At 47.7% G+C, this 14,868-nt stretch overlaps 1 annotated feature.

Moving 5' to 3' along the window:
• Positions 6,233-6,429: a silencer, noted in NCBI's record as "fragment chr1:11640244-11640440 (GRCh37/hg19 assembly coordinates)". NCBI's record gives its function as "represses an EF-1alpha promoter that drives an FKBP-Casp9 reporter gene in an ReSE screen in phorbol 12-myristate 13-acetate-treated (for megakaryocytic differentiation) K562 erythroleukemia cells {active_cell/tissue: K562(+PMA)}" and the evidence as "EXISTENCE:reporter gene assay evidence [ECO:0000049][PMID:32094911]".

Raw genomic sequence — 14,868 nt, forward strand, 5'->3', positions numbered from 1 at the left:
GCGTTTGGCAGGAGCAAAGCCAGGACACACCTGCCCAGTGCAAAGGTCCTGAAACAAATGACACCCAACTGACCCCACAGCAGTCGGGGGGCAAGCTGATTGACAAAAGCTAAGTTTATCTATGTCTTTTCAGCTCAGAAACCATAAAAAGCCAACTTCAAGTTCAGACGGCTCCTAGTAGATCCCAGAACCATCCAAGCCCCATCCAAGATCATCATTTTGGTTTCTTTCTTCGCATGGTTGAGGAAGAGGCGGGGCTACTTCTGCCCGAAGGCCATGGCCCAAGCCTCCAGGCCTCTCTGACTGTCAAGGTTGAATCATGTCCCTGTCCCCCAAATTTATATGTTGAAGTCCTAACCCCCAGTACCTACAGAGTGTGTCCTTATTTGGAGATGAGGTCTTTATAGAGGCAACTAAGTTAAAATGAGGTCTTAAATTAAGGTAGACACTAATCAAATATGACGAGTGTCCTTATAAATAAGGGAAATTTAGCCAGGCACATTGGCTCACATCTGTAATCCTAGCACTTTGAGAGGCCATGGTAGGAGGATCACTTGAGCCCAGGAGTTCGAGACCAGCCTGGGCAACACAGTGGGATCCCATCGCTACAAAAAATTTAAAAATTAGCTGGGCATGGTGGTGCACACCTGTAGTCTCAGCTACTCTGGAGCCTGAGGTAGGAGGATGGATTGAGCCTGGGAGGTCAAGGTTGCAGTGAGCCATGACCACACCATTGCACTCTAGCCTGGATGACAGAGTGAGTCCCTGTCTCAAAAAAAGATGGGGGGGTTTAGACACAGACACACAGAGAGGGAAGACAATAGGAAGAGGCACAGGAAGAAAATGGCCATCTGCAAGCGCAGGAGAGAGGCCTGAAACAGACCCCTCCCTCGTAGCCCTCAGAAGGAACCCTCCCTCTGATGCCTTGATTTCTTTTACTTTCCTTTTTTTTTTTTTTTTTGAGATAAAATCTCGCTCTGTCATCCAGGCTGGAGTGCAGTGGCATAATCTTGGCTCACTGTAACCTCTGCTCACTGCAACCGCCACCTCCCGGGTTCAGCAATTCTCCCGCCTCAGCCTCCCGAGTAGCTGGGACTCTAGGCATGCACCATCACACCTGGCTAATTTTTGTATTTTTAGTAGAGACGGGGTTTCGCCATGTTGGCCAGGCTGGTGAACTCCTGGCCTCAAGTGATCCTCCCGCCTCGGCCTCCCAAAGTGCTGGGATTACAAGCATGAGCCACCACACCTGGCCCTGACACCTTGACTTCGGACTTCTGGCCTCCAGAACTGTGAGATGGGAATCTTTGCTGTTGAAGCCGCATAGTCTGGGGTGATTTGTTGTGGCAGCCCCGCGACACTAATTCAATGCAAGGACCACGGACCCAAACAGCAGCCTTCCTGATTCAGCCTCAGATCGTGGGCAGCCCGGGCACAGGCCACTTCTTCTCCCTCCTTCCCCCTTCCCACAGCCCTTGCCTTGGAAAGAAAGTCCTCTTCTTCCACCTCCCAAAAGTGGGTTTAAAAAAAAAAAAGTTCTTTTTCCATCTCAGACCCCAGAACCTGTGGAAAGGGGATTGGGGGGTTCAGGAAAGCAGAGAAAAGGGGCCTGCACCATGTGGTAGGGGTCCTTCACCCATCATCTCACCGGAGGCCAAGGGGAGGGAGAGCAGGAAAGTGGGCGGTTTCTGGAGCTGGATAGCCTGGGTGTGAGTCCTGCCTCAGTATTCACGTGCTCTGTGACCTTGGGAAAGCTACTTAACCTCTCTGTGCCTCAGTTTTCTCATCTTTAAAGTGGGGCTAATCATCATACCTGCCTATATTAGTCAGGGTTCTCTAGAGGGACAGAACTCATGGAATAGATATATATATAAAGGAGAGTTTATTAAGTATTAACTCACACGATCACGCAGTCCCACAATAGGCTGTCTACAGGCTGAGGAGCAAGGAGAACCAGTCCAAGTTCCAAAACTGAAGAACTTGGAGTCCGATGTTCAAGGGCAGAAAGCATCCAGCACAGGAGAAGATGTAGGCTGGGAGGCTAGGCCAGTCTCTCCTTTCACGTTTTTCTGCCTGCTTATATTTTAGCCTCGCTGGCAGCTGATTAGATGGTGCCCACCCAGATTAAGGGTGGGTCTGCCTTTCCCAGCCCACTGACTCAAATGTTAATCTCCTTTGGCAACACCTTCACAGACACACCCAGGATCCATACTTTGTATCCTTCAATCCAATGAAGTTGACACTCAGTGTTAACCATCACACTGCCCAGAGGGCTGCCGTGAAGATTAAATGAGTTAAGGTGCATAAAGCACTTAAGCAGCATATCTGGTACAGGTGGCCTGTGACAGACGTCGGCTGTTATTATTATCCCCATGACAACACGTGGGGAAGAGGCTGGTGGTCTGTTTTCCTGATGTGGAGCTAGGCCCAGAGAGTTAAACATGCATTTAGGAAAGTGGCCGAGCGATTGGGGCCTAGGCTGTCTCACCAGCCACCTGCATATTCCCTGCTTCACCGGAGCAGCCCCGACCTGTCCCCAACCCACAGCTCCCGCAGCCTGCCCCGTCTCAGTCCAAACCCCTATGTCAGCCTGACTGCTCTTTCACATCCCTCAACCAGCCCAACAGCAAGTCCCCTCAGCGCCGCCTTCTACATCCAGAACCCGTGGTTCCTCGTCTCCTCCCAGCACCTGCTGGCCCAAGCCTGGAGTGCCACAGGGTCTCCCTGCCAGGATCCAGCAGCTGCCCTTCCGGCCCCTGCAGCTTCTTCTCCAGAAGCAGCAGCTGGAGGATTCTGTTAAATCCTAAATCAGATTGTGCTCCCAGGCCGGGCGCAGTGGCTCATGCCACTTTGAAAGGCCAAGGTGGGAGGATCACTTGAGCCTGGGAGTTCAAGACCAACCCGGGTAACAGAGTGAGACTCCAGCCGGGAGCAGTGGCTCATGCCTGTAATCCCAGCACTCTGGGAGGCCAAGGCGGGTGGATCACCTGAAGGTCAGGAGTTCGAGACCAGCCTGGCCAACATGGCGAAACCCTGTCTTTACTAAAATTACAAAAAATTAGCCGGGTATGGTGGGGACGCCTGTAATCCCAGCTACTTGGGAGGCTGGGGCAGGAGAATCACTTGAACCCGGGAGCCAGAGGTTGCAGTGAGCTGAGATCGTGCCATTGCACTCCGGCCCGGACAACAAGAGCGAAACTTCATCTCAAACAAAACAAAACAAAACAAAACAAAACAAAACACAGTGAGACTCCATCTCTACAAAAAATAGAAAAATTAGCCAGGTATGGTGGTGTGCGCTTATAGTCCTAGCTACTCAGGAGGCTGAAGCTGGAGGATCACTTGAGTCTGGGAGGCTGAGGCTGCTGTGAGCCGTGATTGTGCCACTGCACTCCCGCCTGGGTTACAGAGCAAGACCTTGTCTCTGTCTCTGTCTCTCTCTCTCCACACACACACACACACACACACACACACACATACCACACACAAGACTGCACCCCTGCTGTGCTTAGACCCTTCCAATGGCTCCCTTCTGACTTAAGGCATTGACCCCAAGGTCCTGCATCCTCTGGCACTGGTCACTCGCTCACCTGCTCCAGCGAGTTCCTCAAACTCACTGCCCTGCTCCATCGCGTCTACCTCAGATGCTCTCCCTCCACAGACCCACAGGGCTCACACCCACCCCTGCTGCTGGTCTTTTTGTTCACAGGCCACCTCCTCAGAGAGCCTTTACGGACCACACTGTTTAAAATTACAAATCCCCCCAACCAGCCCCACTCCCCACTTTACCTCATCACCATCCCACAAGCCATAGTTATTAGTAACCATTTACCTATTTATCTTGTTCTACTTGATTTTTTTCCACTAGAATCTAAGTCCCAGGAGGCAAGAATACTTGCCTGCTATATTCCCAGTGCCTTAAAACTGGGCGTGGAGCATAGCAGGTGCTCAGTGAATGTTTATTGAATGAGAGAATGACCTGGTGGAGCTTAGAGAATGAGAAGCTGAGTTCAGCACTCAATCCCTCCCCTCCTCTCCCCCTGGACAACATCAGTAATGCACACAGCTGCCCGCAGTGGGAGCTCAGTTAGTGGCTATGGGATCTGGATCTCCCTGTCTTTTATTTGGTGGCTGTTTAGAACATCATTTCTGAGCCCTTTCCATCTGTCGCTAAGTGACTGTGTTGATTTTCCTGTGTTGATTCTCTCCGGTGGAGAGAGAGCCCAGTCCCCACACAGAGCCATGTTCAGGGGTGGAGAATGGCTGTGTGTCACTGCTGGAACTAGTGAATGGCCGTTCACATCCAACACGTGCCCAAAGAGAGTCAGGATGAAAGAGGACGGCCAGGAGAGAGAGCAGAAAAAGAAGATAAAGCCTTTGGAACTCATTTTCATTGCCCCTACACCACAGCCAGAGTAATCGAAATGGAAGGTTAAAAAAAAATCACCCACAGTCCTGATTCTCAACAAATCATGCTGTGACACTTTTACTTGTGATTAGAGGCCTTCGGCAGAGGGCACAGTCAGAGGCTCCTGGGACACAGAACAGGGACGGGGTTCCAGAGCCCCTCCCAGGGTTCCCAGGTTCACTGCCGACTCCACCGGATGAGCCAGAATAGAAGCTGAGCCCACTTCGGCTTAGGTCCCTGCCTGGTACGGTGGCTCACACCTGTAATCTCAGCACTTTGGGAGGCCGATGTAGGCGGATCACTTGAGGTCAGGAGTTCGAGACAAGCCTGGCCAATATGGTAAAATCCTGTCTCTACTAAAATTACAAAAATTAGCCAGGCATGGTGGTGCAGGCCTCCCAGATACTCCAGAGGCTGAGGTGGGACGATCGCTGGAATCTGGGAGGCGGAGGTTGCAGTGAGCCGTGATCGCGCCATTGGATTCCAGCCTGGGAGACAGAGTGAGACCCTGTCTCAAAAAACAACAAAAACAACAACTTAGGTCCCATCTGGAAAATGGAATGGAGTATGCAGGGCTACTGGGGAGTGGGGTTAGAGGGAGGCAAAGTGGGGAGTGGTTAGAAGCGAAGGCTTTGACACCAGGCAGCTGGGAGTGGACCTCATGCCCACCCTTTCCTGGCTATGTGAACCTAGGCAAATAACTTCATCTCTTGAGCCTCAGTTTCAGCCTCTGCAAAATGGTCAGGTACTCATCTCACAGTGTTGTTGTGGAGATTAAGTAATATAATACTTATATATTTATACTTACATATTTAGATATACATAAATATATATTTATATATTACATATATATCATTTTGCATATACAGTAAGCCCTCTGTCAATAACCGCTATTACTACTGCTACTATTATTCCATAGAAGGAAATAACAAATGAAGAGGTAAAGAAAATCAAGAATGAAAATACTTTTCTTCTCCTGTGCTTGACTGAGATTTTTGAACCCAATAGACAGAGGAGGGAATGCCTTTAGAATATATCATTCAAAGCACAAGAAATGGTTGTTTTCCAACCAAAACCCCCAGAAAAGTATTCTAAGAAATCTCACATACACATATTTGCTTTAATCAAAATCCAACTAATGTGATTACCAAGCCCCCAGGGCTGCTCCCGGTTCATTTCCCCTCTGCAGGCTTCCCAGGCAGAATTCCCACCTCAGAGCCCAAAATCCCGCCAAGTGGGGAACCGACAGCTCAGAAAATTGCAAGAATCCTGTGATTTAAAGAAATGCACAGCACGGAAGCTAAGTAAGCTCCTGGATTCTCTCTGCCTCCCACTTCTTCCCCAGGTGGCTCCTCGAAGGAGCACAGTCGTGTGTCAGGAAGCAGGAGGTGCACAGTGTAGAAGCACAGGCTCTGGGTCAGGTTCCCTGGGTCCAAAGCCCAGCCTCCTCCCCTCCTGGAGGCGACCCTGAGCCAATATTTTGACCTCTTCAAGCCTCAGTTTCCCCATCCGCAAATGGGGGTCATCAGAGTCTCTGCTTCCTGAGCTGCTGGTGGTGATGAAGGAGATGGAGTGTGCAAATCACACAGCAAGACACTCTCACAGGGAATGCCACATGCACCCTCTGAGCCCACTGACACTCACTGTATTAGTCTGTCTTCACACTGCTGTAAAGACATAGCCGAGAATGGGTAATTTATCAGGAAAAGAGGTTTAATTGACTCACAGTTCTGCATGGCTGAGGAGGCCTCAGGAAACTTACACTCACGGCGGAAGGAGAATGGGAAGCGAGGCACCCTCTTCACAGGGCAGCGGGAAGGAGCAGTGCCGAGTGAAGCAGGAAGAGCCCCTTATGAAACCATTAGATCTCGTGAGAACTCACTCACTATCACGAGAACAGCATGGGGGAAACAAGCCCCGTGATTCAGTTACCTCCACCTGGTCTCTCCCTTGACACGCGCAGATTATGGGGATTATGGTGATTACAATTCAAGATGAGATTTGGGTTGGGACACAAAGCCTAACCATATCACTCACCCTCCCTGCACAGCCAATGGCTTCCCACTTCAAGCCTCTGTGTGTCCTTGGCCAGAGACCTCACTGCAACAGGCCTTTCAGCACTTTCGTAGGAATAAAGAAGGGTTGGTGGATATATACCCAGCCTCTTTGCTCCTCACCTGGGCAACATGAAGTCTGTTCTATCAATTATCCCAGCAGTCCCCAGGAGAGTGAACCCCAGTTGCCCACAACAGTCATTCTGCCCATCAATATCCCCTGTATTGGCTTCCTTCCCTCACCCTCTCCAACTTCGTTTCTTCCAACCAGTGTTCCTGGTATCACCTTCCAAGTAAACTATTTGCACTCATGTCGCATCTCCGGGCCTGCTCCTGAGGAAAACAACCTAAGACAGTGCTCAATGTCAGCCATTAATAAAAATAGGAATACTTATGATGCAGTAGCCTCTTGAGTCTGAGCTCCCAGCAGAGCATCTAGTTTATGTCCAGTCCGAAGTTCAAGAGAAGCCAGGCATCGTGGTGCACCCCCATGGTCCCAGCTACTCAGGAGGCTGAGGTGGGAGGATCACTTGAGCCCAGGACTCTGAGGCCAGCCTGGGCAACACAGTGAGACCCCATCTCTAAAAAATAAAAATAACGCTCCAGAGGTGAAGGTGGCAACTAAGGATTACCTACAGAGACAATAAAAGACTTTTTTTGTTGTTTGGTTCTTGTTTTCCAAAGATTTCTAGAAGCAGAAATGAGTTGGCCAGACCCTGTTGGAAGTGGAAACAAAACCTGTTTTAGAGTGAACCAAAGTACCCCCTGAAGGTATTGTATTGCAGCAGATCTATCTAACGAGATGTGTAGTAAACTTTTCCTCAATCTGCAGGTGGATGTGCTTCCTAAGAAGTACCGCCTTGCCCTGTTCCAGGTCTGTCTTGTGCTCCCAGGAAACTGCAGGAAGACAATTCACGCTGATTCTTTAAGACAGGGCTTTCTCTTTGGTTCTCAATTGTGAAATCTTGACTGTACTGAATGTGAACAATTTTCCCTTAAGGTCAAGTTCTGAGGATGGCCCCTCCACATCTCGTTGCAAATCGTAACTAGAAGTGTTATTTCTCATTTGTTTATTTATCACATATTTATCTGGGGCCAAGGACGGGAGAGACACAGTTATTGAGGTAGGAGGCAGAGCTCCAACATTGGACCAAATTGAGGACTAGCTGAAACAGGGTCAAGGTAGAAGCAGCTTTCCATAAGACACGCCCACCCGTGTGCACTGTCAGTTTACCATTGCCATGGCAACACCTGGGCGTTACCACCTTTTTCCATGGCAATGACCCAATGACCCAAAAATTACTAGCCCTTCCCTAGAATTTTCTGCATAAACCACCCCTTAATCTGCATATAATTAGATGTGGGTATAAGTATGACTGCAAAACTGCCCCGAGTTGCTACTCTCTGCCTACGGGGCATCCCTGCTCTGTGGGAGCAGTCATAGAGCTGTAACACTGCCTCTTCAATAAAGCTGTTTTCTTCTACCACTGGCTTGCCCTTGAATTCTTTCCTGAACAAAGCCAAGAACCTTCATGGGCTAAGCTCCACTTTGGGGCTTTGCCTGCATTATTATGAAGGCTTTTAAAATGGGTGTCTGGCAGAAGGAGATTTTAGACGTTAGTTTCACTCAAATGTACTAGGGAATGTTGGGGAGGAAAGGAAGGCGGCTGGACAGACAGCTGGGGGCACAGACATTTGGAGGCCAAGTGAGGAAGAGGAAACCTGTGCCAGCCAACAGGGTGGAAGGATTACCAGTGAAGTCAAAGGAGGAGGACATCAAAGTGGTGGAGATGGGTTGGGGAAATTTTTCACTATCAAATTGGAAAAAGTTCTAATAACAATTCACAGTGTTGTTGAAGACATAAGGTAAGGAAATAAGCCCTTTTTTTTTTTTTTTTTGAGACAGAGTCTCACTCTGTCACCCAGGCTGGAGTGTAGTGGTGTGATCTTGACTCACAGCAACCTCTGCCTCCCAGGTTCAAGCGATTCTTCTGCCTCAGCTTCTTGAGTAGCTGGGTCTACAGGCACATGCCACCACGCCTGGCTAAATTTTGTATTTTTAGTAGAGACGGGATTTCACCATATTGGCCAGGCTGGTCTCAAACTCCTGACCTTGTGATCCACCCGCCTCGGCTTCCCAAAGTGCTGGGACTACAGGTACGAGCCACTGTGCCCGGCTGAAATAAGCACTTTCTAACATGACTGGTGGGAGTATAATTTGACATAATTTTTTGGAAGGCAATTTAGTAATGTGTATCCAAAGCCTTTAAAATACGTACACCCTTTCTGAGCAATTTTACTCTCAGTCATTTATCATTAGATTTCACTTCTTTTTTGTCATTTTGTGTCTAACAGGGAAAATTGGGAATAATGTAAATATTAATACATTCTAAAAAATACCAACAATAAGCAGTTGGTTAAATAAATTATGGGTTTTTAAAATCCAGACTGTGAAATATCAGGAAGGTGTTAAAATTGATGGTGAGAATGTTTGTAGACATGAGAAAAGATTCAACGATATATCAAGTAGAAAAGCAACTCATGTAATCATAGGTTGAGTAGGATCTCAAATTTCTTTCCAGTCATTAATATATATTTATTAAAGTCTATGAGAACTAAAACACAGTATCAAAGAGGATCTTCTTGGTGATAGATAGTGAGGGTGTCTGTGGGGTGGGGCATCAGCTTCCAAGAGGTTCCTAGTGCTGCCTTCACATCATGCCCACCCCAATTGTGTCAACGTCTCCCAACTCTCTTCTAACACACCTTCCCTATTGCAGAGATTGGGAAACCCAGAGCAAAAACACTATATTTCCCAGGCTCCCTTGCAGCTCAGTAGCCTCAGTAATCTTGCAAGTTTAAAAATACTGCTACGGACTAAATTTTACCCCCCCAAAATTCACATATTAAAACCCTAACCCCCAGTGTGATGCTATAGGAAATGAGGCCTTTGGGAGGTTTAGATAAGGCCATGATCGGGGGACCCTCATGATGGGATTAGTGCCCTTATAATAAGAGACACCAGAGACAAAGGGAGAAGGTGGCTGTCTGCAAATCATGAAGGGAGCCCTCACCAGGAACAAAATCAGCAGTCACCTTGATCTTGGACTTCCCAGCCTCCAGAATTGTGAGAGATAAATGTCTGTTGTTTAAACCACCCTCTCTATGGTAGCCCAAGTAAACTAATATAAATACCATGTCTGTGTTTTATGTGGCAAGCCAGTCTTCTGATGTCTGATTATCTTCCACTGCTTAAAGGTAAACTTCTTTTCTAAATGCTATGACCTCCTCCTTTTACACAGGGCTAGGCTACTTTGGCTATTTCTGTCTGGTTGCTCACAGCCCCACTTACAGGGGGTTCCAGTGACCTGGAGTTGAGTGGCAGGGTTCAGGGCCCCAATTTTGCTGGTGTAAATGGTGGCAGCTGCACCCTAATTTGGCAGCACGTTCAGGGCAGTGTGATTGGGAGTCCGTAGCTGTAAGAGCAGCCTCCTGATTTCACAAGTGGCTTCCTGACCACAGAGGAGACGACCTCCCTTTTGGTGGCCAGTTCTGCCATGTGACTGTAGGGCTCAATCCTCAAAGCTCAAGTGGAAGTTTGGGCCTTTAGCCCCCAGTGATTCTGTAGATCACTGAAGACTCTGCAAAATAGCCCTTCTCTGCTCTAAAACTGGCCCTAGTGTCCTTGTCTTGTTTCCCCGGCACAGGGGATGTGGAGTTGGGATCACCCTTCCTCTCTGCTCTGTTTTTATTGCACAAAATTCAAACCCAGCTTCCTTTGGGACTTCCCTCTTCATCCTCAAAAATCCCAACAGTGACTATTCCTGTCTCTGGGCTCCAGCCATAATTAACCCTCTTGCAAAGCGAGCCTTCTACCTGACCAGGATGGGTTGGCTACAAGGAGGGATGGGTCTGGCGAGGGAGTGCAGACAAAGTCACAAAGATCCTATTTCAAAAATCTAGAACACCAGCCTGGTGGCTTGAGCTTGTAGTCCAAGCTACTTAGGAGGCTGGGGCAGGAGAAATTTGAGACTAGCCTGGGCAACATAGTGAGATAGGGAGACCCCCAGATCACCATATCTGAGTTTTTCTGATATTTAGAAATGGTCATGTATTGCTGATACACAAAAGAAGTTTCTGAAGTAAAGATTTAACATGTGAAGGTGAGACAAGGGACAGCTGTGCCAGCCACAGAATAAATTCTAGGCATCCACTCCCTGAAAAAGAGGTGGTTGGGTTTGGCTGTTGGGTCCTTGGTGAGTCCTCCAGGTATGTGCTGTCCCATACCATGGTCACTTGGCCACATGTGGCTACTGAGCGCTTAAAATGCGGCTAATTCGTATAGACATGTGCTATAAATGCAAAATACACATCGGATTTTAAAGACTTTGTACAAAAAAAAGAAAGTGAAATATCTCATTAATAATGTTTATGTTGATTACATGTTACATGTTGAAATGATGATAGTTTGGCTATATTGGGTTAAATGAAATATGTTATTAAAATTTATTTCACCTGTTCCTTTTCCAGTTTTGAACGTGGCTAGTAGAAAATGTTAAATTCCATATGTGGCTCACATCCTATTTCTACCATCTGTGCTACCCAAGAGCATCCCAGGGACCGGGGAGGAACAAGAGCCCCAGCTTAAGATCAGGGAATGAATATCTTAAAAGCAGACAAAGATGGGGTGGAGAGGGAGCATGGAGAAGGCAGTTTTTTTTTTTTGTTTTTGTTTTTGTTTTTGTTTTTGTTTTTGTTTTTGTTTTGTTTTGTTTTGTTTTGTTTTTCAGAAAATTGGCAGTAAATTCATAAAAGAACATGGACAAATACCTAGAAGAGGAGAGAGGATCCAAGATGAGGAAATCTAAGAATACTGGCTGAAAATTTGAGCGCAAGAGAGGGGAGAGCAAATATATTTGAGAGGAAGAATATATTGAGCCAGTCCCAAAATGGGGGATGGAAGATGGGGGCAGACATTAAAATTCCTACCGAGGAAGAACATTTATGGGCATTATTCTCTTAACTGAAACAGCAGTCTAAAACAGTACAATGCAAGACAATATGTTACGTGTTGTAATATACCCTTAGAAAAAGGCTGAGAATAAATTGCCAAAAGCATTAGCAGTCTGTGCGCGGTAGGATTACTATATTCCCCCGTGTGGGTTTTTCTGTGTCTGTCTTCCAGCTCTCCTTCACTGCGCAGGTATTGATCATGTAATTAGGAAAACAAATAAAAATTTTTAAGACCCCAAGAGGCCCGGGAAGCTTCTGCATCGGAGAAGGGCACACAGAAAGCAATTGTTCCGCGTTCCCGGGGGTCACCCCAGACCCCACCCTAGGCTTATGGAATCTGAATCTTGGAGTAGGGGCTCCCCATTGGCTTTGAAGGAAGCCCGTTCGGGAAGCTGGCACAGAGCTTCATCAACCTGCCTGGAGTACAATAATGCTTTGTAATACAGACGTGGGCCTTGGGTCCTTCATTCTCTTAGCTCGATGGCCCCTCCCGGGTTGCTGGCTCAGCAGCCAGTTCTTGGGCAGCAGCTGAAATGCCTGGGAGGGTTGCTGGGATTAAATCCAATCCCGAGAAACCGAGAGCCCCTCAACCAGGGCTGAGGCTGAGAGAACGGGGTGCATGACCACCTTGCCAGAGACTGCAGGTGCCTCAGAACTGCCTGTTGCTTTCAAGTCCTCATGACCTCTGGCCTTTAATCCCCTGCTTCTTGGCAGGGACTTATTTGGATTGCTATGTCCTACGTTGAGTTCAGGATGAAATGAGTCTACAGAGAATTTAGGGAGCACTGAAGATGCGACTAGTGCTGGGGAGACAGTGGACAAGCCCCATCCCATTTAATCTTCATGCCGTCCCTGTAGACGACATCTATTACCATCCCATCTTACAGTTGAGGAAACTGAGACTCAGAGAGTTAATTGCCCAAGGAAATTAAGGCCCCAGGCTGATAGCTAAGCAACAAAGTTGAGCTTGAACCTAAGTGTGTTCACTGCACAGCCTGCCCTGAGCCTTCTTATTTACCTGCCTTGGCCATCGGTGTACACATTTGAGAGTCACATGGATGCAGGGTTTGGACTGGAGGGAAGAGCAGAATTTAGTCTGTGTGCCTCTTTCCATCCCCCATGAGAAAGATGGGGAGAGCCTGGGGTGGCCTCTTAAAGGGAGAGGCTCAGGGGAGGTCCTTTTAAGGAAAGGACTCCTGAGAGGGGCTCAGAAGTTACTGTGCTTAATACTGCATCATTTTTAACTTGTTGGAACTCACCAGATGAATTACAAAATAAAGCCCCAAATGACAGAATAATGAGCAATTCATTTGAAATGTAAAATAAATAGATAAATCTCCAGTGAGAAGGCAGAATAAATGGTATTTGGATGACTTTTGGTGATTAAATTAAACAGTAATGAACCCATGAATAATGTGCCCTGGGATGGCCAGGGAGGACTAGTTTGTTCCCCAAAGCACGGGACTTCGAGCCCCAGCTGTTCTCACTTCTCAAGTTTAGGAGCCTTGATGGGGGTCATGAACTCCGGGGGTCGGAGGTGGGCAACCGCCCCATCCACCCCACCAGAGGCTCAGGCTGGAGAGCAGGAACAGCCTTGTGCTTCGGAGAGTCAAGTCCAGGTCTATCAGTGCTGGAGAACCCTCGAGATCATCTAGTCGATTTTCCTTATTTTGTACATTGGGAAATTCAGTGCCAGAAAGGTCAAGAGAGTTGCCTGAGGGTGACCATCAGAGCCAAGACTGAGATCCAGGTCTTCTGACTCCCAACACAGAGACCTGGCTGCTAAATCACATCTTCTCTTTAGCCCTGGACAAGCTGGTCTCCAGAGATGACCCCCCAATGAACAACACCTCTGATATTCACACCTTTTGTGGTCCCCTCCCCTTATCAGGACAGGGGAGCCTGCGACTTGCTTTTGGCCAACAGGATGTGATGGAAGTGATGCTGTGTGACTTTCAAGGCTAGGGCACAGGGAACCTTATCATTTCCACCTAGGAATCTTGGAACCCTAGCTCTAGGGAAAGCCAGTCTCCATGTAAGATGTCCAGCTATCCCCCATGCTGTGAGGAAGCCCAAGCTAGCAGAGATTCCTGGGAGGCCCCCAGCTGTTCTAGTTATCTCAAAAGAGGAGCCAGACATGCACATAACGAAGCTGTCTTGGACCTCCACGCTGCTGAGTTTTCGGATGGTTAAGCCCCAGCCACCATCTGGCTATAAGCACATGAGAGATCCTGATATGGTTTGGATCTATGTCCCTACCAAATCTCATGTTGAATTGTAATCCCCAGTGTTGGAGGTGGGGTCTGGTGGGTAATTAGATCACAGGGGTGGAGTTCTCATGAATGGCTTAACGTCATTTCCCTGGGTCCTACTCTCATGATAGTGAGTTCTTGTAAGACATGCTTGTTTAAAAAATGTGTAGCACCTTCCCTGTCTCTCTCTCTTCCTCCTGCTCTGGCCATGTAAGACATACCTGCTCCCCCCTCCGCCTTCTACCATGATTGTAGGTTTCCTGAGGCCTCCCCAGAAGCTGAGCAGATGCCAGCATCATGCTTTCTGTACAGCCAGCAGAACCGTGTGTCAATTAAACCTCTTTTCTTTATAAATTACCAGTCTCAGGTATTTCTTTATAGTAATCCAAGAACAGACTAATACAGACCCCAAGAGAGAGCCACCCAGTTGAGTCTAGTCATCCCACAGAAATGTAAGAGTCGATAACACATTGTTGCTGTAAACTACTGAGTTTTGGGCTGGTTTGTTACACAGCAATTGGTCATCAGAATATAACTGACTTTCTAAAGAAGGAAAGCTACAGCAGCTGGAGACCAGGGTCCTCAGGTCCCTCCTTCCAGGTTAAATGTTCGTTAAACTTGAACTCTAGATCTTCCATGAGAACCATCACTCCAAGGTCCAAGGGAGGCTGTCAGAGGTCCTGGTGAACCTAACCCTTTGGTTTGTTTATTTTATTATTATTATATGTATTTTTCTGAGATTGAGTTTCACCCTTGTTGCCCAGGCTGGAGTGCAATGGTGCGATCTCAGCTCACTGCAACCTCTGCCTCCCAGATTCAAGTGATTCTCCTGCCTCAGCCTCCTGAGTAGCTGGGATTATAGGCACACACCACCACACCCAGCTAATTTTTTTGTATTTTTAGTAGAGACGGGGTTTCTCCACGTTGGTCAGGCTGGTCTCAAACTCCTGACCTCAGGTGATCCGCCTGCCTCGGCCTCCCAAAGTGCTGGGATTATAGGCATGAGCCACTGCACCCGGCCTGGTTTGTTTATTTATTCAACAAATGTGAATTAAGTTCTGCCATGTGAGCAGTTAAGACAAAGCTGTGAGAGAAACAGAAATTGATTTTGCTCTCCTGGGACTGACAGTTCCACAGGAGA

Source organism: Homo sapiens, chromosome 1, assembly GCF_000001405.40.
Source record: "Homo sapiens chromosome 1, GRCh38.p14 Primary Assembly".
In the NCBI taxonomy this organism is placed as follows: domain Eukaryota; kingdom Metazoa; phylum Chordata; class Mammalia; order Primates; family Hominidae; genus Homo; species Homo sapiens.